General features: G+C 44.2%; 2 protein-coding genes across 15 annotated transcripts in view, besides 4 other annotated features; both read left to right on the top strand.

Annotated features, from left to right (window-relative positions):
• Nucleotides 1-13,795, top strand: part of CANX (calnexin) — a 52,986-nt gene extending 39,191 nt beyond the window's left edge. For 11 of the 14 annotated variants that reach the window (XM_011534665.4, NM_001363994.1, NM_001363996.1 and 8 more), the window contains 7 exons: nucleotides 1,822-1,935; nucleotides 2,558-2,714; nucleotides 4,958-5,173; nucleotides 5,814-5,933; nucleotides 6,811-6,937; nucleotides 8,834-8,913; nucleotides 10,745-13,795. In XM_011534665.4, coding sequence (XP_011532967.1) covers nucleotides 1,822-1,935; nucleotides 2,558-2,714; nucleotides 4,958-5,173; nucleotides 5,814-5,933; nucleotides 6,811-6,937; nucleotides 8,834-8,913; nucleotides 10,745-10,798 — 868 coding nt within the window. In that variant the 3' untranslated portion in view covers nucleotides 10,799-13,795. The remainder of the gene's footprint in view (nucleotides 1-1,821; nucleotides 1,936-2,557; nucleotides 2,715-4,957; nucleotides 5,174-5,813; nucleotides 5,934-6,810; nucleotides 6,938-8,833; nucleotides 8,914-10,744) is intronic. The other 3 variants (NR_157048.1, NM_001363998.1, NM_001363999.1) reach the window with 3 other exon arrangements.
• Nucleotides 14,519-14,618: an enhancer, noted in NCBI's record as "active region_23758". NCBI's record gives its function as "activates an Ori minimal core promoter by ATAC-STARR-seq in GM12878 lymphoblastoid cells {active_cell/tissue: GM12878}" and the evidence as "EXISTENCE:reporter gene assay evidence [ECO:0000049][PMID:35858748]".
• Nucleotides 14,976-27,363, top strand: part of MAML1 (mastermind like transcriptional coactivator 1) — a 44,462-nt gene continuing 32,074 nt past the window's right edge. Inside the window, exon 1 of the mRNA NM_014757.5 lies at nucleotides 14,976-15,581. Coding sequence (NP_055572.1) covers nucleotides 15,267-15,581 — 315 coding nt within the window. The 5' untranslated portion in view covers nucleotides 14,976-15,266. The remainder of the gene's footprint in view (nucleotides 15,582-27,363) is intronic.
• Nucleotides 15,069-15,268: a silencer, noted in NCBI's record as "silent region_16733". NCBI's record gives its function as "represses an Ori minimal core promoter by ATAC-STARR-seq in GM12878 lymphoblastoid cells {active_cell/tissue: GM12878}" and the evidence as "EXISTENCE:reporter gene assay evidence [ECO:0000049][PMID:35858748]".
• Nucleotides 15,380-15,880: an enhancer, noted in NCBI's record as "H3K27ac hESC enhancer chr5:179160227-179160727 (GRCh37/hg19 assembly coordinates)". NCBI's record gives its function as "activates a minimal SCP1, AML or CMV promoter by ChIP-STARR-seq in naive H9 embryonic stem cells {active_cell/tissue: H9 hESC(naive)}" and the evidence as "EXISTENCE:reporter gene assay evidence [ECO:0000049][PMID:30033119]".
• Nucleotides 15,509-15,568: a silencer, noted in NCBI's record as "silent region_16734". NCBI's record gives its function as "represses an Ori minimal core promoter by ATAC-STARR-seq in GM12878 lymphoblastoid cells {active_cell/tissue: GM12878}" and the evidence as "EXISTENCE:reporter gene assay evidence [ECO:0000049][PMID:35858748]".

Consider the following 27,363-nt stretch of genomic DNA (forward strand, 5'->3'; position numbering starts at 1 on the left):
CTGGGATCACAAGCGCATGCCACCACACCCAGCTAATTTTTGTATTTTTAGTAGACACGGGGTTTTACCATGTTGGTCAGGCTGATCTCGATCTCCTGACCTCAGGTGATCTACCCGCCTCAGCCTCCCAAAGTGCTGGGATTGCAGGCGTGAGCCACCACACCTGGCCTCTTTTCTTTAGACATGATCTCTGTGTTGCCCAGGTGGGAGTACAGTGGTACGGTCACGGCTCACTGCAGCTTCCACTTTCTGGGGTCAAGCGATCCTCTCCCGCCTTAGCTTCTCAAGTAGCTGGGACTGCAGGTATGCACGCCTGGCTAATTTTTATGGGTTTTTTGTTTGTTTGTTGAGACAGAGTCTCGTTTTGTCACCCAGGCTGGAGTGCAGTGGCACGATCTCGTCTCATTGCAACCTCTGCCTCCCGGGTTCAAACGATTCTCGTGCCTCAGCATCCCAAGTAGCTGGGACTACAAGCGTGCACCACTGCACTCGTGCCTCACCCTCCAAGTAGCTGGGACTACAAGCGCGCACTACTACAAAAAATTCTTGTATTTTTAGTAGAGATGGGATTTCACCATGTTGGCCAGGATGGTCTCAAAATTCTGATGTCAAGTGATCTACCAGCCTCAGCCTCCCAAAGTGCTGGGATTACAGGCGTGTGCCACCGTGCCTGGCTGTGCATGTTTTTTCTTTTTTTTTGAGACGGAGCTTCGCTCTTGTCGCCCAGGCTGGAGTGTAGTGGCGTGATCTTGGCTCACCACAACCTCTGCCTCCCGGTTTCAAGTGATTCTCCTGCCTCAGCCTCCTGAGTAGCTGGGATTACAGGCATGTGCCACCACGCCCAGCTAATTTTGTATTTTTAGTAGAGATGGGGTTTCTCCATGTTGGTCAGGCTGGTCTCAAACTCCCGACCTCAGGTGATCTGCCCACCTTGGCCTCCCAAAGTGCTAGGATTACAGGCATGAGCCACTACACCTGGCTTAATTTTTGTATTTTTTGGTAGAGACAGGGTGTCGTCATATTGGTCAGGCCGGTCTTGAACTCCTGTCCTCAGGTGATCCACCCGCCTTGGCCTCCCAAAGTGCTGGGATTACAGGTGTGAGCCACCGCACCTGGCCTTGTGTATTTTTTTTTTTTTACTAGAGACTGGGTTTCACCTTGTTGCCCAGGCTGGTGTGGCCTCAAGTGATCCTCCTGCCTTGGCCTCCCAAAGTGCTGAGATTACAGGCATGAGCCACTCTGTCTAGCTATAGATATATATTTTCATTTCTCTTGGGTATATATACCTAAAAGTGGAATTGCTGGGTCATGTGGTAACTAACTTTTTGAGAAACTGCCAAACTGTTTTCCAAATGAGCAGTACCATTTTACTTTCCCACCAGCAGTGTATGAGGGTTTCAGTTTCTCTGCGTTCTTTCCAGCATTTGTTTTTATGAGTCTTTTTTATTAGAGCCAACTTGGTACTAAGTGGTATCGTTTTGATTTGCCATTTCCCTGATGGCTAATGATGTTAAGCATCTTTTCGTGTGCTTATTGTATGTTCATATTGTATATTTTTACATTCGTATGTCTTCTTTGGAGAAATGTCTATTAAAATCATTTGCCCATTTTTAAATTGGGTTGTCTTTATATTATTGAGTTGTAAAGAGTTATTTTACTAGGCCCTTAGCAGATATATGATTTACAAGTATTTTCTAAGAGGAATTATTTTAAATTTTGAGATTAAAAACAAATTTTTTTAGAATACTCTGTTCTGATCCACAAAGTGGTACTATACTGTGACCAGTGTTGTCATAACTGGCTTTTTCTTTTGTATTTAAGGGATGAAGATGCCCCTGCTAAGATTCCAGATGAAGAGGCCACAAAACCCGAAGGCTGGTTAGATGATGAGCCTGAGTACGTACCTGATCCAGACGCAGAGAAACCTGAGGATTGGTAAGAACTTCAGTTAACTTTTTTTAATTACCTGGTTTTTTTGTTTGTTTTTTTTTTTGAGATGGAGTCTCACTCTGTCTCCCAGGCTGGAGTTCAGTGGCGCAGTTTCGGCTCACTGCAACTTTCACCTCCTGGGTTCAAGTGATTCTCCTCCATCAGCCTTGCGAGTAGCTGGGATTACAGGTGTGTGCCACCACACCCGGCAAATTTTTGTATTTTTTGTATTTTTAGTAGAGACGGACTTTCACCGTGTTGGCCAGGCTGGTCTCAAAGTCCTGACCTCAAGTGATCTGTCTGCCTTGGCCTCCCAAAGTGCTGGGATTACAGGCGTGAGCCACCACACCCAGCATAAGTTACCTGTTTTTATTGAAGTCAATCTTAATACTTAAATATAGCCAAGTTCCCTAATTTCAGGGTAGAATTTGACAATTTTAATTATATTTTCTTCTTTTTTAAAAAATAAATTTTTCCTGAAAAACTGTTATTACTGGAAATACAGGAGAAGCTGGTCTGGGATACTGTGAAAACATTTCAGCAGGATCTTGGCAGCCCTGGGCCAGCCAGCTGTTCATAGTCCTGCATCACAGAACCTGTTTATAATTTGTTGTTTGTACCTCCGTAGGGATGAAGACATGGATGGAGAATGGGAGGCTCCTCAGATTGCCAACCCTAGATGTGAGTCAGCTCCTGGATGTGGTGTCTGGCAGCGACCTGTGATTGACAACCCCAATTATAAAGGCAAATGGAAGCCTCCTATGATTGACAATCCCAGTTACCAGGTTTGTGCCTCTTGATGGTTGAGTTGCTTTCATTAATCTGTTTGTATTCAGATAGAAGTTTTATCTAGAGTAAGGCTGCCAGGTTGGTCATTATATTCAAGCTGTTGAATTAAAAGCAGAAAGTAGACTTCCTAAGTTGAAAGAGAGCTTAATGGGTTAGGTATTGCAAAGATAAACCTAGAAACTGGAGTGAATAACTTTCTTTAACTTTATTTATTTATTTATTTATTTATTTATTTTTGAGATGGAGTTTCGCTCTTCTACCCAGGCTGGAGGGCAGTGGTGTGATGTCGCCTCACTGCAACCTCTGCCTTCCGGTTTCAAGCGATTCTCTTGCCTCAGACTCCCGAGTAGCTGGGATTACAGGTGCCTGCCACCACGCCTGGCTAATTTTTATATTTTTAGCAGAGATGGTGTTTCACCATGTTGGCCAGGCTGGTCTCGAACTCCTGACCTCGCGATCCGCCCACCTCAACCTCCTAAAGTGCTGGGATTACAGGCGTGAGCCACTGCATCTGGTCAACTTTCTTTTTTTGAGACTGAGTCTCACTCTAGTGGCCAGGCTGGAGTGCAATGGCTCAGTCTCGGCACACTGCCACCTCCACCTCCTGGGTTCAAGCAATTCTCCTGACTCAGCCTCCCGAGTAGCTGGGAGCACAGGTGTGCTCACAGGTGTGCTCACCTCACCTGGCTGATTTTTTGTATTTTTAGTAGAGACGGGGCTTCGCCATGTTGGCCAGGCTGGTCTCGAACTCCTGACCTCAGGTGATCCACCTGCCTTCGCCTTTCGAAGTCCTGGGGTTTCAGGCGGGAGCCACTGTGCCCAGCCAAGAATAACTTTCATAGTTGCTTTGTAACTATATTTAAAAACAAAAGAGAAATGGAAAACTGTTGATTTGGGTACCCTGCTCTTGGGTGCTAGGGTTGCTTCAGCCATAGGATCCACAGCTGAGTCTGGACAATCTGTGATGTGGTGGGTAGAGGACTGTGGTTTGAGTCAGCATCTTGACTACATCAAGTCAGCTCACTGCTTGGCCTCAATGCTTGCAACTATAAAAAGACTGAGGCCCAAAAGAGATGGTAAGGATACAAGTAGTAAGGTTGTGAGGCTTTAGGCCTCATGCAAAAATGTACACCCTCAGACCTTTGTTCCTTTTATCTTTCTAGCCAAGTAAAATTATTTATAATCTCTACAAAGAGTGGCAATTAAAATTATTTATAATCATTAATTTCTACTTTATTTATATACAAATACTAATATATGTATATACATATACAGAAACAGGAGAAGCTGGTCTGATACTGTGAAAACATTTCAGCAGGATCTTGGCATAGTATATGTATATATACATATACTAATATATGTTTTTCTGTTTGTAAATTTTTTATTTTTTTCCTCATAGTCGTTAAAGATGTTATGTGAATGTATTTTTAATTGTGTAGTCAAACAATAAGATAAAAGTTTTACTTTAAAAAAGTTGCCCTTTAGGCTGGGCGTAGTGGCTCACGCCTATAATCCCAGCACTTGAGAGGCTGAGGTGGGTGGATCACCTGAGGTCAGCCATTCGAGACCAGCCTGGCCAACATAGTGAAACACCATCTCTACTAAAAGCACAAAAATTGGCCTGGTATGGTGGCACACACCTGTAGTCCCAGCTGCTTAGGCACGAGGCTGAGGCACAAGGATCACTTGAACACAGGAGGCAGAAGTTACAGTGAAAAAGAAGTTGCCCTTTAGTTGTTCTCCTGTTGGTGGCCATTTAGGTGGATTGTCACTTTTGCTTTCAGAGTCACTGCTGCTGTAATAATCCTTGTACATGTCTGGGTGTATGTTGTGAGTATTTCTCTAGGTAGTTATCTAGAAGTGAATTGCTGGTTGATGATCATGTGCGTTTTATTTTAAATCACCACTGAAGAAGTACGTACTGACTTATGCTCCCACTCTCATTAGCAGTTGCTAAGAGTGGAGGCTGTTGAATGGGCCAGGAACTTGAGGGGTTGGTTTGGACCAAGGTCATGGGTGACAGTAGAAATTGGAAGTAGTTGGAATCCTGCAGTCTTAGAGGCAGAGTGCGTAAAATAATCTGTAGCATTTGTTATTTATTTTCCTGTTGCTTATTTCAAGTTTCATGAAGTTGGCATTTCTCTCCATTGTTCATGCAAAATTTCTCTTACGGTAGATTCACCATAAACTTTTGTTGATCATTATCTGAAATGATTTTCTGAAACATTTTTTTTTCTAGGGAATCTGGAAACCCAGGAAAATACCAAATCCAGATTTCTTTGAAGATCTGGAACCTTTCAGAATGACTCCTTTTAGTGCTATTGGTTTGGAGCTGTGGTCCATGACCTCTGACATTTTTTTTGACAACTTTATCATTTGTGCTGATCGAAGAATAGTTGATGATTGGGCCAATGATGGATGGGGCCTGAAGAAAGCTGCTGATGGGGCTGCTGAGGTTCGTGTTTGCTGCTTGTGCATTTGTGTCTGTTATTGTAAGGAGCTGTTATTTTGTGAAAGTCTGTGTTAAGGTTTTTTTTCTTCATTTGGCAATATTGGCATAAAAAGTATAACCATATGCCTGCAAAAGACACAATATTGGGTTTTGGGGCATGATTTCATTAGTCTAATGTAGTGGCTTTAGAGTCTGTTTGTGTTCAGGGTTTTTTTTTTATTATTTGTCTGGGTATATATTTCGAAATTTGTCATTTAGGCTATATTTTAATACACTCTTATATGTTGAATCTCGGTTTACACTACATACAGAATTTTCAAACAACTGGTCATGTGGCCGATTTAAGAATTGGAGAGCCAGGGATACTGAGATAAGAAATTCACTGGATCCTGAGGTTAAGGGAGCCTTTTGCAGGTGATGTAGAAGCCAGCTTTTGCACCTATGAGAGTGAAATCATCTTGATTATAAGGAGAGCAAGAGGATGGAGGCTTTCTCTAATTTCTTTTTTACATTTTATGAGCATTTTCTCTGAAAAAGAAGGTCCTGCGTAGTGCCATGCCATAACTGAACTGCAGAAAAACAGCACGGCCTATGTTTGGTGTCAAAAGCTGGAACTTTCAATCAGCCCTGTCTTGTTTTTCAGCCAGGCGTTGTGGGGCAGATGATCGAGGCAGCTGAAGAGCGCCCGTGGCTGTGGGTAGTCTATATTCTAACTGTAGCCCTTCCTGTGTTCCTGGTTATCCTCTTCTGCTGTTCTGGAAAGGTAGGAAGTTTTTTTTTTTAGAATCAATTTTAGAGACATCACTCTAGTGATTATTAAAAATAACTAAGATATGTTGCCTGAGGTTTTCTTTGTAGTGGCTCAGTAATGACCAAGCCATGTTTGGTGTTGACTTCAGAAACCTTACTTACTGTTCCTCAGTGGCCGTTTATTGTGCCCAGATGGGAGCAGGATTTATAGCCCCTTGGTTGCTATTATTATTTATCCTAATCTGTTACTCTCCATAGTGTTCGGCAGCAACTTTCTAAAAAAAAACAATAAACTTAGATACCAAACTAGCCACTTGGGCAATAATCAGCTTTGCCTGCTGGCATAGCTATTTCTATTCTTTGTAATTCAGTCTTTGATTCCTCATTATCCATTCTGCCTTCACCTTCCCCACTCTCAAAACAGTATGTTGGGGTACCACAGCCTTATTGTTAGTTTTTCTTGTTTAGCCTTTTTTTTTTTGCATGCTATCATAAAAAAAGAAAGTCTTATTTTGGACTCTACTTCTGCTAAATGAGGATTATGCTTCATCTGGCATTCATAGCACTTTGTAACTGGATCCCAAGTTCCTTTTCCAGCCTCAGCCTCTGCCACTATTCTGTGTATCGGTGCCTCAGTCACCTTGACTTTTTTGACCTTTATTTTCCTGCCTGGCCCTTTTGTTTTTATTGTTCTACCTTGAAACACACAAGCACATGTGCATACACACACGTACATACACGCTCTTCAGGGTAGGAATTACATCCTATTCGTTTCTGTATATCTATCCCTGTATACAGCCTGGAACAGAACTTTGCCTGTAGGCATTCAGGAATTATATAACATAATACATGAACATGTAAACAAAATTGTACTTTGGGGAACATTTCAGAAACAGACCAGTGGTATGGAGTATAAGAAAACTGATGCACCTCAACCGGATGTGAAGGAAGAGGAAGAAGAGAAGGAAGAGGAAAAGGACAAGGGAGATGAGGAGGAGGAAGGAGAAGAGAAACTTGGTAAGAAACAGAGTCCAGAAAATCTGCTTTAAGCCAAGACCCTACGATGTTGTTAAACCTTTACAGTCAAGTTAAGGATTGTTTTTAGCCAGGCGTGGTGGCTCAAGCCTGTAATCCTAGCACTTTGGGAGGTTGAAGCAGGAAAATCACTTGAGCCCAGGAGTTTAAGGCTGTAGTCAGCCAGGATAGTGCCACTGCACTCCAGCTGAGCAACAGAGTGAGACCCTGTCTCTCTCTCTCTCTCTTTTTTATTTTTTAAGACAAGGTCCCACTCTGTCACTCAGGTTGGAGTACAGTGGCACAGTCACAGTTCACTGCAGCCTTGACCTTATAGGTTCAAGTGATCCTCCTACCTCAGCACCCCTCCAAGTAGCTGGGACCACAGGCATGCGCTACCATGCTCAGCTGTTTGTTTGTTTGTTTGTTTATTGATTTATTTATTTGATATGGTCTGGCCCTGTTGCCCAGGCTGGAGTGCAGTGGTGTGATCTCGGTTCACTGCAGCCTTTGCCTCCCAGATTCAAGCGATTCTCCCACCTGGGCCTCCCAAAGTGTTGGGATTACAGGCGTGAGCCACCAGACCCAGCGAGATCCTGTCTCTTAAAAAAAAATTGTTGGCCAGGTGCGGTGGCTCACGCCTGTAATTCCAGCACTTTGGGGGGCCGAAGCAGGCAGATCACGAGGTCAGGAGGTCGAGACCATCCTGGCTAACATGGTGAAACCCCATCTCTACTAAAAATACAAAAATTAGCCGGGCATGGTGGCAGGTGCCTGTAGTCCCAGCTACTCAGGAGGCTGAGGCAGGAGAATGGCGTGAACCTGGGAAGGCAGAGCTTACAGTGAGCCGAGATTGGGCCACTGCACTCCAGCCTGGGTGACAGAGCAAGACTCTGTCTCAAAAAAAAAAAAAAAAAAAAAATTGTTGGCCAGGCATGGTGGCTCACGCCTGTAATCCCAGCACTTTGGGAGGCCGAGGTGGGTGGATCACGAGGTCAAGAGATCAAGACCATCCTGGCCAACACAGTGAAGCCCCGTCTCTACTTAAAATAAAAAAGTTAGCCAGGCATGGTGGCGGGCGCCTGTAGTCCCACCTATTCGGGAGGCTGAAGCAGGAGAATCACTTGAACCCGGAAGGCAGAGGTTGCAGTGAGCCGAGATTGCGCCACTGCACTCCAGCCTGGCGACAGAGCGAGACTGAGTCTCAAAAAAAAAAAAAAATTGTTGGCCGAGCAAGGTGGCTCACGCCTATAATCCCAGCACTTTGGGAGGCCAAGGTGGGTGGATCACCTGAGGTCAGGAGTTCGAGATCAGCCTCGCCAACATGGTGAAACCCCGTTTCACTAAAAATACAAAAATTAGCCAGGCGTGGTGGTGGGCACCTGTAATCCCGGCTACTCCGGAGGCTGAGGTAGGAGATCCACTTGAACCTGGAGGCAGAGGTTGCAGTGAGCCGAGATCATGCCATTGCACTCCAACCTGGGTGACAAGCAAAGTCGATCTCAAAAAAAATAGTGGCCGGGCGCGATGGCTCACGCCTGTAATCCCAGCACTTTGGGAGGCCACCGAGGAGATCATGAGGTCAGGAGATCGAGACCATCCTGGCTAACACGGTGAAACCCCGTCTCTACTAAAAATAAAAAAAGTTAGCCGGGCATGGTGGCAGGCGCCTGTAGTCCCAGCTATTCAGAACACTGAGGCAGGAGAATGGCGTGAACCCGGGAGGCGGAGTTTGCAGTGAGCCGAGATCGCGCCACTGCACTCCAGCCTGGGCGACAGAGCAAGACTCTGTCTCCAAAAAAAAAAAAAAAAATTGTAGATCTAGAGATGTGTTCTAATGCTAATATATAATCACCAAAAATAATAAGGTTTTGCTCAGTTGTTTAACTTCTGTCTTAGAAGAGAAACAGAAAAGTGATGCTGAAGAAGATGGTGGCACTGTCAGTCAAGAGGAGGAAGACAGAAAACCTAAAGCAGAGGTAAAGGAAAGGGGTCACACATTTTGTTTTACCAAGCTGAAGGTACATTTATGTAAAGGGAATATTTTAATAGGGTAGTTTACAGTGGCTTATGGCAGTAAAAATTCTGTTAAAGCCAATTTTGTTGAAGTGGGATTCTTTGTGATACAGGTCAGTGTTTTGTTTGATAATTTTAAGCTACATATTAATCTCAGAAGTATCTTTTTAGCTGAAAATCATTTTCTGAAATAAGCAGAAGGTTATAGGGGGAAAATAAAATGCTTGCTAAGAAGGAAACTTCGGGTCATTAACAGTCTATTTGCCTCTCCTCACTGTGCCCTGAAAAGTATTTCTTATACAAATCACTGTGTTCTAAACTTTTTGTCCCCGTTGTCCATAGATGGGTTCATTCATTCATTTAACTGACATTTGTTGAGTGCCCATTTTGTGCCAGGCATTGTCAGTGAGTAAGACAGACAAAGATACTCTGCCTTTAGGGAGCTTAAATTCTACTTGGGGGAAACAGGCAATGAGCAGTAAACATTTTAAGGAAGTAAACAACACAGCGTATTAGGAAGTAAGAAACGATGAATAATTAAAACAGGAAAAGATACTAAAAGTGCTAGAGGTAGGCGGGTCACCATGTTAAAACCTTACTCGAAAGATGACATCGAACCAAACACTTGAAAGAGGTAGAGAACTTTTCCATGGGGATGTAAGTGGGAAGAGCATTCCAGGCACAGAGAACAGCCAGTATTGAGGCCTAAAGTGGTTGTCTACAAGGCCAGTATGGTGAGTGGACAGAGAGAGTGGAGAAAAGAAGGGTGGAGAAGGCTCCAGGTTAGACAGGCTGTTGTGTGGACTTGGCTTTCCCTCCTAGTGAAGCGGGCAGCCATCACAGGCTACTGGACACAGGTGTCACAGGATGATGACTGTGTCTGCTGTGTTTCCTATATACCAGGGAGAATCAGGGCGACCAGTTAGGAGGTCCCTGTAATCATCTAGGAAAGATACGGTGGCCCCACAAAGGGTGACAGGAGAGGAACAGAGGGTATGAGAACTAGTTGGAGATCTGGATCTTGGTTTTGTGGTAGATTGGATATATAGAGTATGAGAGAAAGGGAACAGTCACTGTCTGTATGTACCATTGCTTACTAAAGTCCTTTACCCAGCACCTCTGTGTCTAAATCTGGTCTCTCCCGGAAAGCTCTCCTCAGGTTTTACTTTCAGCTACAACTCTGCCTTCCTATTAATAAAGATCATTGCTATCTGTATCTTTTGTATATTTTCCATGGATATGTTCTGTCTTAACTAGAATGCAATTCTTAAAAGTAGAGACCATGTTTCCCCCAAACTCCCTCACACGTTAAAAAGTTGCTGGTGCATTTAAAAAAAGGGAATATTTTCATAGGGTAATTTACAATCTTAGCAACTTGTGATAGAGTACAGAGCAGCAGCCTTGGAGTCAGTCTACTTGGATAGCCTTCCATCTTCATGAATCCTTGGTTTCTTATCCTCAGAATGGGGCTAGTGTGCCATAGGCCAGTAGATTGTTTGGGATTAAGCAAGATTAAGAAATCACAGTGTCTGATCCTTTTTTAAGAAAATGTTTATGGGTTAGATTGAGAAAAGTGTATGTTTATAGAAAACAATAAAGACTAAACTGAATTAGAGTAGGCATAATTCCACCACCTCTGAGACAACCATTCTTCTTGGTGCATTTTCTTCTCATCATTTTCCTCATTTTTTTCCTCAAATAAGTTACCCTCAGTCTGGCTGATCTTGAAAATATGGTGAACTTTTATTATTTTTTAAATGTGCTAATTATAATGAATTTCTTTTCAATCAATAGGAGGATGAAATTTTGAACAGATCACCAAGAAACAGAAAGCCACGAAGAGAGTGAAACAATCTTAAGAGCTTGATCTGTGATTTCTTCTCCCTCCTCCCCTGCAAGAGTGGTCCTAGGAGAGGACCTGGCACACCTTAGGTTGACATTCAGAAAACTTCAAGACATCACCATCAGCAGGCTCCAGTTGAACACTAGTCTGTGTAACTTTAAACATCTAGCAGTAAATACTTGCAGTTGTGATATAAAGGACCCTGTTTCTGTAGAAAAGAAAACATTTAACATAATGGTTGTGAAATGTAACATGAAGCAAACTAACTTTTTTTTTTTTAACATCTTTGTTTTTAAAATAGAATGATAGAACTTTGCCAGTCTTTAAGATCTTGGCTTAATTTAATGTATTAATCTGTTTGTGCAAACATAATACCACCATTTAAAAATGTTAGGGAGATGAGTTGCAGTTTTTATAATAGATTTTTTTTAAAGTTTGGTATTGTAAAACATTCACACCTCTGTCCCTCAAAATTGATAATTACGTTTAAAGTGCAGTCATTTGTGGTTAGAATCTTGTTTTGTTTGCTTCCATTATTGAGTTCCTCCTAAGGAAATTGAGGAGAGGGACTGAATAGAAGCCCAAATTCATATAAAAGTTGCGTTTAAGTTGTATTAAAAATAGATATATAAGAAAAAATTCTTTCACTTGATGTTTGTTAGACCAGAAAGTGTGTGTGTTCTGTAGCTCAGTTCCCAGACAGCTTTTTAGGTAGTGGAGGAGGTGGCTTCATGTGGCACTTGGGCATTTATATTCCACTTGGGAGGGTCAGGCTGTGGCCTTCTGGAGCAGGTGGCTTGTTAAGGAATGCTAGCAGGGCATGGCACGTGAGCTCCGGAATAGATGTCTTCATCACTTCTTCCACTGTGTGTTGACACTGTTTTCCTTACCTATTTCCTCAGATCCCCAGCTTTCTCCTCTGCTATGCATTTTCTTCACAGTGCAGCTTGCAGTCCGTTGCTGAAAATGATTATAAGCCCTGCATAATGTTAAGCTTTATTGTGATTACGTGTATGTTTCTTCTTTCTTTTAAGCAGACCCATACCTTTCCAGGGTCAAAGTACAGAATAGAATACATTGATACAAAGTACAGAAAAATACTTTGATTTTTATCCATTTCTTTTACTCTGTGTAAAGACTTGAGAAGTCTAATTCACAGGCAAACCAATACAGAATTGACTGCAGTTGAACAGACTAGAAGTATTTGTGGGAGGAGTGACATGAAGCATGAGTTATCTGATTTTTTTTGTAGCTGCTATATATTTTAAGCCTTCATTTGCAATTCATGTAACAGTTGTGTCATAAATTACACAATAAAGCAGTCCTGTTCAAATTTTTTTTTAACGTGGCTTGTAGAATTTTTAAAAAAGTGATCTTAGGTTTGTTTTTTCATGCGGGATGCAGATGGGTGCTATCAGAGCCTCTCCCACACCACTATAGTGTAATAATGTTATTATTACTCTACACTGAAACGTATTCAGAGTTAGATATTATTTTAGCTTCAGTTGTTCTTTAGAGGCTTTCAAATGTACCGATGATACTGTTTCTTGCACTGAATATATAAACACTCCACAGTGTTTATATTGGGAAGATATTGGGAAGGAAATATATTTGTAAAAGATGAAGGCTGTATCTATTTTTTTTTCTTTTTAAAGTTTGTTCACTTAAATTCTTTTGAGGATGGGATGTATTTTTCTTGCTGTTCAGTGCTTTTTCCTTTTCATCTGTTGTTCTGTGGTCACAGTGACCTTAGCTACATAGCAGACTTTCCCAAATGTATTGATTACAAATAAACAGTTGTTACTTAGCAAGACCTGAAAATATGTCTGCAGGTTTCTCCTTGAAGCAAATGTGTGGGATCATTGCATTTCCAGAAATCTGCCTCCTTCACCCTCCGTTGACAGTATATGTCATGCCTCACTTTCTTCTAGCTGAGCTTTAAATCATTAGAGCTTAAATTGTCAGATCGTTCATTGCCTTTCCAGGGTTATTTAGTAAAGTTTGTTGAAAACAAAAACGCCTTTTCTTGGTTCTTTTTTCAGTTATTTTGAAGGTCCAGCATCCTGATTAAATGTCTGACACATTAATGAATGACCAGCAGCAGCTTTCAGCTCTTAAAAAGACACTTATATTTTGATTTTACATGCTGGTTACCTGTTCCATTGTTGTCAAATGCCCACTCTCCATCAGATGTGTTCCTCCATTTTCTTATCCACAAAGTACTCCTCACTTTTCAATTTGTCATGTTACTAAATGGTGTTACATTAAAGCCCTGTGTTAAGTGTCTGCTTTTGACTGAATTTCTTCATAGTAACCTTCAGTGTGTGTGTGTGACTATGTTCAATTAGTGGGTTGATCTTCGTATAATTGGCCACTATGTGAGAGTTCACTACTAGGCAGAAACTATTATGGACAGTGAAATAATGACTTTTATCTCACCACGTGAGTTTGATGCAGTCTTTTCTGTCTAGCCCTTGCCTCTTCCTGCCCATGTGATTGCGGTGCAGTAGTTTCTGTTGTATAATAGTGTGGACAGCAGCTCAGAAAAGGAGGGAATGCTACTGATAATTTGTAGATAATATTCTTTAAGACTTAGGGGAACCATTGAACTTTGAAATTTTTATTAGAAAATTATTTGTTCAGAATCAGACTCCATTATTTTACATATACTTAAATACTTTAGGGGTATTTTTGAAAGTTAGCCCAGTTTTTTATGTGCTATTAAATTTTTAGATTACATACTAAAGAAAAGTATGTACACAGAATGTAGTGCTCCTAGTTACTATTTTTTCTATTAAGAAATAGTTTAGTTCTGGTGTAAAATTTGTTTGAATGCTAAAAAAAAAAAAGCAGGACTGCATTATGGCACTTTTGCCTTGGTGGCCCACTTTCTCCATTTAAAACATTAGGATTTGTATTTTTCTGCTGCGTTTGTATGAAGACATATTTGATTGTTGTTTTCTCTTGATTTTAAAATAAAACCTCATGAGCCCTAGTAAAAAGCTAGAGTAACGAATGTTTGAACTACTGATGGTGTATCTCAATGTGCAGCCTCCTGCCACCTCCTGCTTAACCTTTTAGCAATTAGAGTGCCCATATCTAGAGTTCCTGATATCCTTTGGCATCACACTATCTAGTTTTAGTACTAACACTGTTTGATTGCTCCAGTCCCTCTACTCCCCTTTGCCTATTAGTTTTAATAATGGGGCATAATTTGTCTTGGTTTGGTTTTGTTGAGTAACTCAGTTTTACCTAAAGGACTGTTTTTGGTCCGGCGCGGCGGCTCACGCCTGTAATCGCGGTACTTTGGCAGGCCGAGGTGGGCGGATCACCTGAGGTCAGGAGTGGGAGACCAGCCTGACCGACATGGAGACACCCCGTCTCTACTAAAAATACAAAATTAGCCGCGCGTGGTGGCGCATGCCTGTAATCCCAGCTACTGGAGAGGCTGAGGCAGGAGAATCGCTTGAGCCTGGAAGGCGGTGGTTGTGGTGAAACGTCGTCCTTTGCATTTCCAGTTCCCTCTAATGGAGCTGCACTCTTGCATGCTTTTGCTCACATCTTCTGGACTTTTTTTTTAAGTAGTGAGTAATACTGCACTTTTGAAACTTGCTCGGGCTTTTACAAATAGGTGGAAACTACCAGTGATTCGGAATGTTGCAAGAGGAAACTACCAGCTCACTAGACGATTCTGACCAATTATGGGGCTGGATACAAGGAATAAGGTCAAAGTAAAACGGCTGACATTAAAATAGCGTGGCTACTTAGAGTTTATCAAAGTCGAAATTTAAAAAATAATTTAAAAAAAAGGTCTCTGTACTGCCAGGCGGGCGACAGGGACTGGCCAGCTGCGCCGCACTCGCCTGCCAGATTCCCCTTTTCTCGGGGTAGCCGGAAGGGCCTGCCTTCAGCGGGTGCTGTGCAGGAAACCAATAGCCGCCTCTTGGACGGGCTCCTGTCAGTCACGCTTAGCTCCGCCCCCAGGATTAAGGCCCGCCCAGGGGCTTCCCTCCGCCCTTCGCTTGAGAATTCCTTTTAAATACCGCTCTGGCGCCCGAGCGCGCCTCTTGCGTGCTCGTCCCCACGCCCTCGGGCGGCCGGTTCTTCCTTCTCTGATTGGCCAGGGCCCCTGCTCATCAGTCGTGATGCACAAGGTCTCTTACCGAGGCCCCGCCTTCTTCCGAGAGGCCCGAAAACAATTTTAAGATGGCGGCCGCGGCGGTAGCGCGGAAAACAATGGGGCCGGGGCGGTGGGGAGAGGCCGAGGCTTGAGGTAGGCAGCAAGCGCCGGCTGGGGGTCGGGCCGAGCGGGGCAGGAGGAAAACCCGCCGCCGCGCGCGAGCCCGCTCCGCTGCCCTCGGGGGCATGGCGCGGCCGTGAGGCGGAGAGGGGTAGCCGCGGGGAGCGAAGCCCGCAGTGCCAGCCGGCCCCGAGAGGCCCGGCCCCGGGCCCGGCCCGTGCAGCCCGCGGCCCATGGTGCTGCCCACCTGCCCCATGGCGGAGTTCGCGCTGCCGCGGCACAGCGCGGTCATGGAGCGCCTTCGCCGGCGCATCGAGCTGTGCCGGCGCCACCACAGCACCTGCGAGGCCCGCTACGAGGCCGTGTCGCCCGAGCGCCTGGAGCTGGAGCGCCAACACACCTTCGCCCTGCACCAGCGCTGCATCCAGGCCAAGGCCAAGCGCGCCGGGAAGCACAGGCAGCCGCCCGCCGCCACGGCCCCGGCGCCCGCCGCCCCGGCCCCGCGCCTGGACGCCGCTGACGGCCCCGAGCACGGCCGCCCGGCCACGGTGAGTAGGGCGCGGGAAGGCGCTTGTCGTGGCGGCAGCCCCCTCTCCCGAAAACGCTTCCTCTGACGCGGATCGGGCCGCTGGGAGACTTCCCCAGGCGTCCGCGACTCCTGGATCTGGCTGGAGAGAGGGTAACATGGCAGGGAGCTGAGAGGTTGTCATCTTTGGGAAGTGGCACGGTGGCGTTACTTTGGGAAAACAGCGCCTTGAGGGCCTTGCAGGAGGCCCGACCTGGGAAGGCTGGCGAACGCTAACCGGAGGGTTTTTCTTCCAGACTTGATTCCGGGATGTTGAGATCTTTATTCGAAATAGACTAGCATTCGAGTCGCCTGTGATGGAGGGAGTTCCTGCACCGTAGGCCTGGCCTCATTTATTCTGCAAATGTTTATTGGGTCCTTGCCCTTTACAAGATCCTGTGCTGTGAGCAGGATCAGGGCTTTCATGTGGAAATAAGTCGGCCTTTGGTTGACCAACTGAAACTCCTCTGAATGGAAAATCAAGAAATTTTTGGAAAACTTAGTAAAATGTTCAATGAGTTGCATATAAGTATTCCTTGTTTAGGTAGCCTGAACTTTGTGAACTTGAGATTCCTGCAATATTGTTGACAATTCTAGTTTTAATTTATCAGGCCTGTTTAAAATCTCTGATGATGTTAGATTGTTGGTCAATTATTACTCCCTTTGGGCTCTCAGTAAATGTTCCTGAAATTTGTTGGTTAGAGGTTTTTCTTCCTGAAACAGATTTACAAAAGAGACAAGGTTTTTCAGTGGTTTTCTTGGGGATTTTAGTTTAAAACCAATGTTAAAATCTAATTTGTTATGTGTATTTTTAAATTCATACCTTTATTATCTCTCACCTGGGCTATTGCAGTGCCTGTCCCTAGCTAACTAACCAGTCTGTAGGCATTTAGTTTCTTTCTCCCTTATTCTCGAAATGCTGGAAATCCTTCTCTTGCTTGAAAGGATGAAGTTCAAAGTCTTTAGTTTGGCATTTGGGACCAGTCTGACCTAACCTATCTTTTAATGTCCCTCACAGGTCCTCTGCTCTGGTTGAATTATTTTTCTCATTCTCTTCCACACTAGCCTCGATTGCTGGGTTAGAAGAAAAAAAACCACTCAGATTTCATTGCTTATTGTATCAACTGGTCAAGCCTTCTCATCTTCACTTTTCTCATCTGTAAACTAGGGGCATGTTGGGCTTATTATCGCCCCGTGTTCTTTCCCTGCCCTCCCCTCACTCTGTCGCCCAGGCTGGAGTGCAGAGGCACAGTCATGTCTCACTGCAGCCTCAACCTTCCTGGCTCAAGACTCCTCAATCCTCCCGCCTCAGCCTCCTCAGTCCTCCCGCCTCAGCCTCCTGAGTAACTGGGATCAACCACAGCTGCACATCACCATGCCTGGCTAAATAAAAAAAGTTTTTTTTCTGTTAGAGATGGGGTCTCACTATATTGCCTAGGCTGGTCTTGAACTCCTGGGCTCAAGTGATCCTTTCTTCCAACTTGATCTCTGAAAGTGCTGAGATTATAGGCATGAGCCACCGCACCGTGCCGCCCCCAGGATTCTTTTAAGAATAAAAAGAAATGAGTGTGGACATGAAAATACAGTATTTCGGGGGAAGGGATAGCATTGGGAGATATACCTAATGCTAGATGACGAGTTAGTGGGTGCAGCGCACCAGCATGGCACATGTATACGTATGTAACTAACCTGCACATTGTACACATGTACCCTAAAACTTAAAGTATGATAATAATAAATAAATAAATAAAATACAGTATTTCATAAATTTAAAGGCCGCCTGTGGGACCCTCCTCCATCCCTTTCAGAATCCTGCCACCCTGCCAGTCCCAGCTTATCTCTTTCTTCTGCCTTAAAGCTAGTTCCTGACCAGCCTAACCCACAGCAGTAAGAATCTCCTTTGTCAAAACATTTAGGAAACATATTATCTATGCTATTTGTTTTATTTATTTATTTATTTTGAGATGGAGTCTTGCCCTGTTGCCCAGGCTGGAGTGCAATGGCGCGATCTAGGGTCACAGCAATCTCCGCCTCCCAGGTTCAAGTGATTCTCCTGCCTCAGCCTCCCTACTAGCTGGGATTACAGGTGCTGGCCACCATGCCCAGCTAATAATTTTTGTATTTTTAGTAGAGATGGGGTTTCACCATGTTGACCAGGCTGGTCTCGAACTCCTGACCTCAGATAATCCACCCACCTCGGCCTCCCAAAGTGCTGGGATTACAGGTGTGAGCCACTGCACCTAGCCTATTTATTTTTTTTTGAGACAGCGTCTCGCCCTGTCACCCAGGCTGGAGTGTAGTGACATGATTTCTGCTCACTGCAACCTCTGCCTCCCCGGTTCAAGCGATTCTCCTGCCTCAGCTTCCTGAGTAGCTGGGATTACAGGCGCACACTACCACGCTTGGCTTATTTTGGTATTTTTAGTAGAGACAGGGTTTCTCCTTGTTGGGCAGGCTGGTCTCGAACCCCTGACCTCGTGATCCACCCACCTCGGCCTCCCAAAGTGCTGGGATTACAGGCGTGAGCCACCGCGCCCGGCCTATGCTATTTATTTTTAGCACATGGTCACTTGTTACTTTAGGTCGCATCTTTTCAACTAGACTGTCAGCTCTTGGAGGCAGGGAGGGCTCACACTTGGGTAGTACACATCTGAGGTGCATCTTAAGTGCCTGTTTGTTGAATTATTGATAGAAACTTGGTAGTGCTTTACTCAGTAATCTCTCCTCCTATACACTAACTTCAAAAAGCAAGTTGATGTAACTTCATGAGCCACCTTTCATGGCTCATAGTAACAACTCTTGTAAGGAGGGACTTTTGTTATTTTTTTTTAGGGAGTTTCGCTTTGTCGCCAGGCTGGAGTGCAATGGTGCCATCTTGGCTCACTGCAACCTCCGCCTCCCAGGTTCAAGCAATTCCCCTGCCTCAGCCCCCCAAGTAGCTGGGACTACAGGCTTGTGCCACCACGCTCCCCTAATTTTTTGTATTTTAGTAGAGACGGGGTTTCACCATGTTGGCCAGGATGGTCTCGATCTCCTGACCTTGTGATCCTCCCGCACTGGCCTCCCAAAGTGCTGGGATTACAGGCATGAGCCGCCACGCTTGGCCTGTGTAAGGAAGGACTTTTAAGAGTAGTTCGTGGTCATTGCAATTGAAGTAAATAATGAAAGCTCATAAAAATCATAGTTTAATACACAAATAGTTGCCTTGAATCCTCCCTAGAAAGTATATTAGGGGGGCCGGGAGCAGTGGTTGACTCCTGTAATCCCAGCACTTTGGGAGGCAGAGGTGGGTGGATCGCCTGAGGTCAGGAGTTCGAGACCAGCCTGGCTAACATGGTGAAACCCCGTCTCTACTAAAAATACAAAAATTAGCTGGGCATGTGGCGTGCGCCTGTGGTCCCAGCTACACGGGAGGCTGAGGGAGGAGAATCGCTGGAACCTGGGAGACGGAGGTTACAGTGAGCTGAGATCGTACCACTGCACTCCAGCCTGGGCAACAGAGGGAGACTCCGTCTCAAATTAAAAAAAAAAAAAAAAGGTATATTAGTAATGATTCAATTTTTGTTTAAAGTTGTTCTAAGAATTTAGACCCTGTATGATTTTTTTTAGTCCTGAGTCAGTGGGGGAAACTGGGCATGCTGTTTGAAGAGAAATTAATTCTGAGTGTGTTAGAATTTGAATCTAATTTGTCAGTCATTCCTTTTGATATCAGAGCTTAATCAGATGTGCCATGTTAAGGTGATGTCTTTTTATCACATTAAACCTTGACTTATGGATTTCTTGAGTTTAAACTCTACGGTGGATGTGCTTTTCTGTGTCTCTGCTAGGAAGAGGGACGCTTTGCATTTGGACTCCAAGTTAGTCTAGCTGAGCTCTTTGGCCTTGGAATGGGGTCATCGGAACAGAAGATAAGTATCATTAAGAAAACAGTGGCTCCTTCAATTCAGGGGGGAAGAGAGTCCTTGAGTATGTACGATTTTGGCTTGGAGAAAACAGCTTTGCAGAAAGAGATGGAAAGAAGGTACCTCTTAGTCATTGTTATTTTTGACAACTCCATGTATTTGATCTCATTAATATTTCTTACTTAAGGAATATTATAAGTTCTTAAGTTTTTTCCAAGTGAACTATATACTGTTTGGCAGTCATTTCATAGTTACTTCACCAGCAACCCATTTGTATGACTGAGAAGGGATCAGATTTACTGCTAGAGTTTACTTCACTTCAGATTATTGTTTTCTTAGGATATCCCACCACAGCGAAGTCTTAGCCACTATCTGCTTAGTCTGTTAGAGATGAATCAGAAACACTGTTTCAGGCTTTTTCTCTATTCTAATTTTCAAGGAATGAGTCTATTAGGTTTTCATTTCTTTTCCTTTTTTCTTGAAACAGGGTCTGGCTCTATCACCCAGTGGCGCGATCGTGGGGCACTACAGCCTTGAACTGCTGGGCTCCAGGGGTCCTCCCACCTCAGCCTCCTGAGTAGCTGGGACTACAGGTGTGCACCACCGCACCCGGCTAGGTTTTAAAGTTTTTTGTAGAGATGGGTGTGAGCCACCTTGCCTGGCCGAAAGTTGATTTTCTTACTTAGTTTTAGGTGTGTAAAGTTTCTTTCTCTCTTTTTTAACCTTTTATTTGTAAATAATGTCAAACTTAGAGAAAAGCTCTAAGTTTGGTACAAAGAACATCTGGTTACCTAGATTTACCTGTTGTCACTGTTGTGCCCCATTTGTTATCATTTGCACATTCTCTCTCTCCCACTCTCTGCCTCTTTCTCTCTCTCTCAGACTTTTATTCTCTGAACCACCTGAGAGTATGCTGCACACCTCATAGCTCTCTGCTGCCAAACCACCCCATGTGTACCTTTTAAGAGTTAAGAAAGCTGTTAATTTTGTAGACCAAACTCTTGTAAGAATTATGAAATAACAAATTATTTCCAGGAAGTAGATATTTCTGAATATAAAACAGATACTGTACTGTAATCATGTGGGGCATTAGTTTTTTTAAAAAGATGATCAGTGTGGCTTTAGGATCTCATTTCTTCCTGTAATGCCTGAGACCTTGTCTAGAACCCTCTTTCCTTTTTTGTCTTCAGTATCTCCCTTCCCAACTGAGTCTTTCCCTTCAGCTTGAAATTATGAACAAATATTCTCCACACTGACAAGTCCTGTGTTTTCTCACTGTCAAAATAGTATTCCATATTCTTCTTTCCCTTTGCCCTTCCCACTTGAACTTCTCATTTACTCATTAGCCTATGGTAATATGCCTTCTACCTCTTCTATTACTCTGAAGTTGCCTCCGTAAAGGACACCAAGGATGGACTTGCCAAATTTATTGGCATCTTTTTTTTTTTTTTGGAGACAGGGTCTCACTGTGTTGCCTAGGCTGGAGTGCAGTGGCACCATTATGGCTCACTACAGCCTCAACCTCCCAGGCTCAAGTGATCCTCCCACCACAGCCTCCTCAGTAGCTGGGACTACAGGCGTGAGCCACCACACCCAGCCTCATTGGCATCTTAGTCATCATTCTTCGTGACTTCTTCCTTTTCTTAGCTTCTCCTCTCTTCTGATTTCCTTTTCAGCTTTCTGACTTTTTTTCTCAGTCTCCTTACTATTTTCCCTTATTAATTCATGCAGCAAATATTTGAGCACCTGCTGTGGGCCAGAGTACAATCAGCCCTCCGTATCTGCGCATTCTGCATCTGCGGATTCAACCAACTGTAGATAGAAAATATTTTTTGGAAAAAAAAGTAAAAAAATAACAGTACAACAATTAACACAAATTATAATATGCAGCTCAGCATGGTGGCTCATGCCTGTAATCTCAGAACTTTTGGGAAGCTGTGGTGGGAGGATAGCTTGAGCTCAGGAGTTTTAGACCAGGCTTAGCAATATAACAAGACTCCATCTCTCAAATAGAATAGAATAGAACGGAACGGAACGGAATAGAATAGAATAGAAAAATAAAAATAAAAATATAGCTGGGTATGGTGGCTCACACCTGTAATTCCAGCACTTCAGGAGGCCAAAGCTGGTGGATTTCTTGAGCCCAGGAGTTCAAGACCAGCCTGAGCAGCATAGTGAGATGTCATCTCTATAAAAGCATGGTGGCATGCATCTGTATTCTCAGCTCCTCGGGAGACCGAAGTAGGAGGATTGCGTGGGACCGGGAGGTAAAGGCTGCAGCGAGCTATGATTGCGCCACTGCACCTTAGCCCCTGGGTGACATCCAAACCCTGCATCAAAAATAAATAAAAAATAAAAATATGACAACATTTACATAGCATTTCTATCATACGAAGTATTGTAAGTAATCTAGAGGTGATTTAAAGTATCCTGGAAGATGTGTATATATTATTGCAAATACTAGGCCATTTTATGTAAGGGACTTGAGCATCCTTGGATTTTGGTGTCCCGGCGAGGCTGGGCAGGGGTCTTAGAACCAATTCCCCATGGACACCAAGGGAACTGCTGTGTACAGTAGCGAATAGGACAAATTAAAATTCTGCTGTCATGGAGAAAGAGGAGGTCAATATTTTTGTTAACTTTGTTATAATAAGTGCTAAGCAAAAATTAAAAGCAGAGTCATGTGATACTAAATGACAGTCGTAGCTTAAGATGCCTTGATTTGAGCTTGATGATTGAGAGGCTGTCAGTCAGCTGAAAGTCTTAGAACATTCCAGTTAGAGAGAACCACCAGTACCAAGTGTCTGAGTTAGGACCCTTCTGAGCTGGCATGAAGAACAGAAAGCAGGCCAGTGTGTCTGGAGCAGCGTGGCACCTAGGACCAGATCAAGTGCAGTAGGAAGCAGTAGCAGGATAGGGAGCAGAAACATGATATGATCCAACTTAGGTTTTTTTGCTCTGCTGACCAGTCTGGAGTGCAGGGGCGCAATCTCAGCTCACTACAAGCTCCGCCTCCCGGGTTCACGCCATTTTCCTGCCTCAGCCTCCCAAGTAGCTGGGACTACAGGTGCCCGCCACCACACCCGGCTAATTTTTTTGTATTTTTTTTTTTAGTAGAGACGGGTTTCACCGTGTTAGCCAGGATGGTCTCTATCTCCTGACCTCGTGATCCGCCCATCTCGGCCTCCTAAAGTGCTGGGATTACAGGTGTGAGCCACTGTGCCCGGCCGATCTTTAAGTTTTGGAAGATGGTTCTGGTGCTAGGTGGAGGATGCCTGGGGTTGGTGTGGATAGGAGTGGATGCATATAAAGCTTTTGTAGCTCTCTAGATGCCAGGGCTGGGGCTGGTGGTAGCAGTGGAGATGGAGAAGAGGAGATGGGTTTTGGACAGTTCCTGAGGGCAGAGGTGACAGGACTGGGTTGCTGGACTAGATGGCTTTGTTTTGCGGGCAGGAGAGGGGAGTATTCAAGGGAAATTCCTAGTTTTATGGCTTGAGAAACTTTCTTTGCACTTTAAAAATATTAGTGTTCTCTAGGCAACTATATCCCTGGCCATTTTCACTCTTTTTTTCCCCTGGGTGATGTTATTGATTCTTTCATAGCTTCATTTGTCACCTGTAATAATACTCTTCAAATCCCCAGTCCAGATCTGTCTTCCAGATTTCAAATCCACATTTCCAGCTGTCTGCTGGACATTTTCATCTTTCCAGGATATATTTCCCACATATCCAAAATGGACTTTCCCTTTTTCCTACCAAATCATATGTTCCTTCTAAGTATTTTCCCTAACCCAGTCATCCAGAGTAAAAACCTGGGAATTTTCCACTCCTTTTCCACAATTCCCAGCGTTCAGTTGGTGGTTCTTTCAACCAACATTGAAGTCCTGCTGGAGCCAGGAATCGTGGTAGATGGTGAACCTGTATCGCGGAGCCTAAGTGGGAGCAGATGATACACAGGTCATTGCAAAGCCGAGTTCAGGGCTAAAGCCTGTGAGAATATTGAGGAAGGGGGATGCCTTTTTGGTGAAGTTTGGAAGGCTTTAAAGAATTGACTCTTGGCCAGGCGTGGTGGCTCACGCCTGTAATCCCAGCACTTTGAGAGGCTGAGGTGGGCGGATCACTTGAGATCAGGAGTTCAAGGGCAGCCTGGCCAAAATGGTGAAACCCCGTCTCTGGTAAAAAATACAAAAATTAGCCGGGCACGGTAGCATACACCTGTAATCCCAGTTACTCAGGAGGCTGAGGCAGGATAATCACTTGAACCCAGGAGGTCGAGGTTGTCGTGAGCTGAGATTGTGACATCGTACTACAGCCTGGGTGGCAGAGCGAGACTGTCTCAAAAAAAAAAAAAAAAAAAAAGAATTTACTTTTAAGGTGGATCTTAAGCTTTAGCCAGATGCTTTCCCCAGAGGTGTTCCATGGAACACTAATTTCATGGGCTGTTGAAAGTTACAGTGGAACACATTTGAGGAACACTGGGCTAAACAATTCTTTTTCCCTCTGAGCATCTGCACATATTGGCTAAACAAATGTATTTTATTTTTTAAATTTGTTTTATTGATTTATTTTTTGAGACAGAGTCTCCGTCTGTCGCCAGGCTGGAGTGCAGTGGGGTGATCTCGGCTCACTGCAACCTCCACCTCCTGGGTTCAAGCAATTTTCCCACCTCAGCCTCCCAAGTAGCTGAGGCTAATTTTTTGTATTTTTAGTAGAGACGGGGTTTCACCATGTTTGCCAGATTGGTCTCGAACTCCTGACCTCAGGTGATCCACCCGCCTCGGTCTCCCAAAGTGCCGGGATTACAGGCGTGAGCCACCGCACCTGGCCAACAAACTTAATTTGCTTTATTAAGAACATTTTTGGCCAGGCACGGTGGCTCATGCCTGTAATCCCAGCACTTTGGGAGGCCAAGGCGGGTGGATCATCTGAGGTCAGGAGTTTGAGACCAGTCTGGCCAATATGGTGAAACCTCATCTCTACTAAAAATACAAAAATTAGCCGGACGTGGTGGTACGTGCCTGTAATCCCAGCTACTCAGGAGGCTGAGGCAGGGGAATCCCTAGAACCTGGGCACCGGAGGTTGCAGTGAGCCGAGATCGTGACACTGCACTCCAGCCCAGGCGACAGAGTGAGATTCCATCTCAAAATAAATAATAAAAAAAAAACCAACATTTTTGCCACATTCAGTGTCTGACACCAGTAATCCCAGCATTTTGAGAGGCTGAGGTGGGTGGATCATTTGAAATCAGGAGTTCGAGACCAGCCTGGCCAACATGGTGAAACCCTGTCCCTACTAAAAAAATAAAAATAAATTAGCTGGGCGTGACGGCACACACCTCTAATCCCAGGTACTTGGGAGGCTGAGGCAGGAGGCAGGAGAATCACTTGAACCCAGAAGGCGGAGGTTGCAGTGAGCTGAAATTGTACCACTGCACTCCAGCCCAGGTGACAGAGCAAGATTCCATCTAAAAAGAAAGAACATTTCAAATCTTTAATATGCGGCTATGCATGAAGACATGAGCTCTTATCAGGTGGTATTTAATAGGACTTTGATTTCCTTTAGGGCACTAAGCAAAAGCACTAGTAGTTCTTTGAATTTGGGACTTAAAGGCAAGAAGGTGAGTTAGGTCATGAAAAGCCTTATATTTGAGACTGGGTGTTTGGACAAAATAATGTTGAAATACTGTGAACCCCTTCACACTTTTTTTTTTTTTTTTTTTTTTTGAGACAGAGTTTCACTCCTGTTGCCCAGGCTGGAGTGCAATGGCACCATCTTGGCTCACTGCAACCTCCACCTCCCGGGTTCAAGTGATTCCCCTGCCTCAGCCTCCCGGGTAGCTGGGATTACAGGCAGGCACCACCATGCCAGGCTAATTTTGTATTTTTATTAGAGATGGGGTTTCTCCATGTTGGTCAGGCTGGTCTCGAACTCCCGGCCTCAGGTGATCCGCCTGCCTCCGCCTCCCAAAGTGCTGGGATTACAGGCGTGAGCCACCATGCCCGACCCCCTGCCCCACGCTTTTTTTTTTTTTTTTTTTTTTAAGAGAGTCTCACTGTGTCTCCCAGGCTGGAGGGCAGTGGTGTGATCTCGGCTCACTGCAAGCTCCACCTCCCAGGTTCACGCCATTCTTCTGCCTCAGCCTCCCAAGTAGCTGGGACTACAGGCGCCCACCACCACGCCCGGCTAATTTTTTTTTTGTATTTTTAGTAGAGACGGAGTTTCACCTTGTTAGCCAGCCTCGATCTCCTAACCTTGCGATCCACCCGCCTCAGCCTCTCAAAGTGCTGGGATTACAGATGTGAGCCACTGCGCCCGGCCCTCGCTCACACATTTTTAAGTTGACACCTAGCACTTTTCATCTTAAGTTTTTAAGCTTATGAAAACTTATAATGCATTTTTTTGTTTATCAATTGTAAACTAAGTTACCATAATTCAATTTTATTAAATTAAATATATGAAATAATACATTTAGGTAACAGTCTTATAATTGCTACATATATTTAATTTGAATCAACTCTTTTAAAAGAAGGTGCTATTTATAGTTGCAGGGTATATAACTTCCAGAGAATTATAAATATTATCATTTAAAAATAAAATGGTTACATCAGTTTTTAAAATGTAGCCAGTGGAATCCGAATATCTTAGCGATATGCTATCTTTCATCAACTGTTTAAAGAATGCTTTAACAGAAATTTTAAATTCCTTTTTCTCCTGGAACTTGCATTCTTTTTACACTTAGCCCACATAATATGTTTTATTTTAACGTAATATATGTTTGGAAGCCTTTTATTTATCATTCTAGCACATTTCTTTGCAACAAAAAGAGGTATAAAAAATTAAATTTTTTTTCTTCTTCAAGATGGAGTCTTGCTCTGTTGCCCAGGCTGGAGTGCAGTGGCATGGTCTTGGCTCACCGCAACCTCCACTCCCCCGGGTTTAAGCAGTTCTCCTGCCTCAGCTTCCGGAGTAGCTGGGATTACAGGCACCTGCCACCACGCCTGTCTTAATTTTTGTATTTTTAGTAGAGATGGGGTTTCACAATGTTGGCCAGGCTGGTCTTGAACCTCCTGACCTCATGATCCACCTGCCTCGGCCTCCTAAAGTGCTGGGATTACAAGCGTGAGCCACCACACCTGGCCAAAATAAAAATTTTAAATTTACTTTCACCATTAAGCTGGATCCTTTTGGCAGGATTTTTTTTTTTTTTTTAGACGGAGTCTCACTCTGTCTCCCAGACTGGAATGTGGTGGCACGATCTTGGCTCACTGCAACCTCCGCCTCCCGGGTTCAAGCAGTTCTGCCTCAGCCTCCCGAGTAGCTACCATGCCCGGCTAATTTTTTTATTTTTAGTAGAGACGAGGTTTCACCATATTGGCTAAGCTGGTCTTGAACTCCTGGCCTCAGGTAATCCACCGCGCCCAGCTGCTTTTGCTCTCTTTCAAGTTGATTCATGCAGAATAATAGATGTAGCATTTATAAGATTCTGGTACATCTATTTCTTATTTCAACAAGTTGAGTTATAGTAATTTAGTACAAAACAACGCATGCATTATAAATTTTTTTTTTTTTTCTTGAGACTGAGCCTTGCTCTGTTGCCCAGGCTGGAGTGCAGTGGCACAATCTCGGCTCACTGCAAGCTCTGCCTCCCGTGTTCACGCCATTCTCCTGCCTCAGCCTCCCTTGTAGCTGGGACTACAGGCTCCTACCACCACGCCCAGCTAATTTTGTTTTTGTATTTTTAGTAGAGATGGGGTTTCACCGTGTTAGCCAGGATGGTCTCGATCTCCTGACCTCGTGATCCGCCTGCCTCGGCCTCCCAAAGTGCTGGGATTACAGGCGTGAGCCACCGTGCCCGGCCGCATT

The sequence above is a fragment of the Homo sapiens genome, chromosome 5 (assembly GCF_000001405.40).
Source record: "Homo sapiens chromosome 5, GRCh38.p14 Primary Assembly".
NCBI lineage: Eukaryota > Metazoa > Chordata > Mammalia > Primates > Hominidae > Homo > Homo sapiens.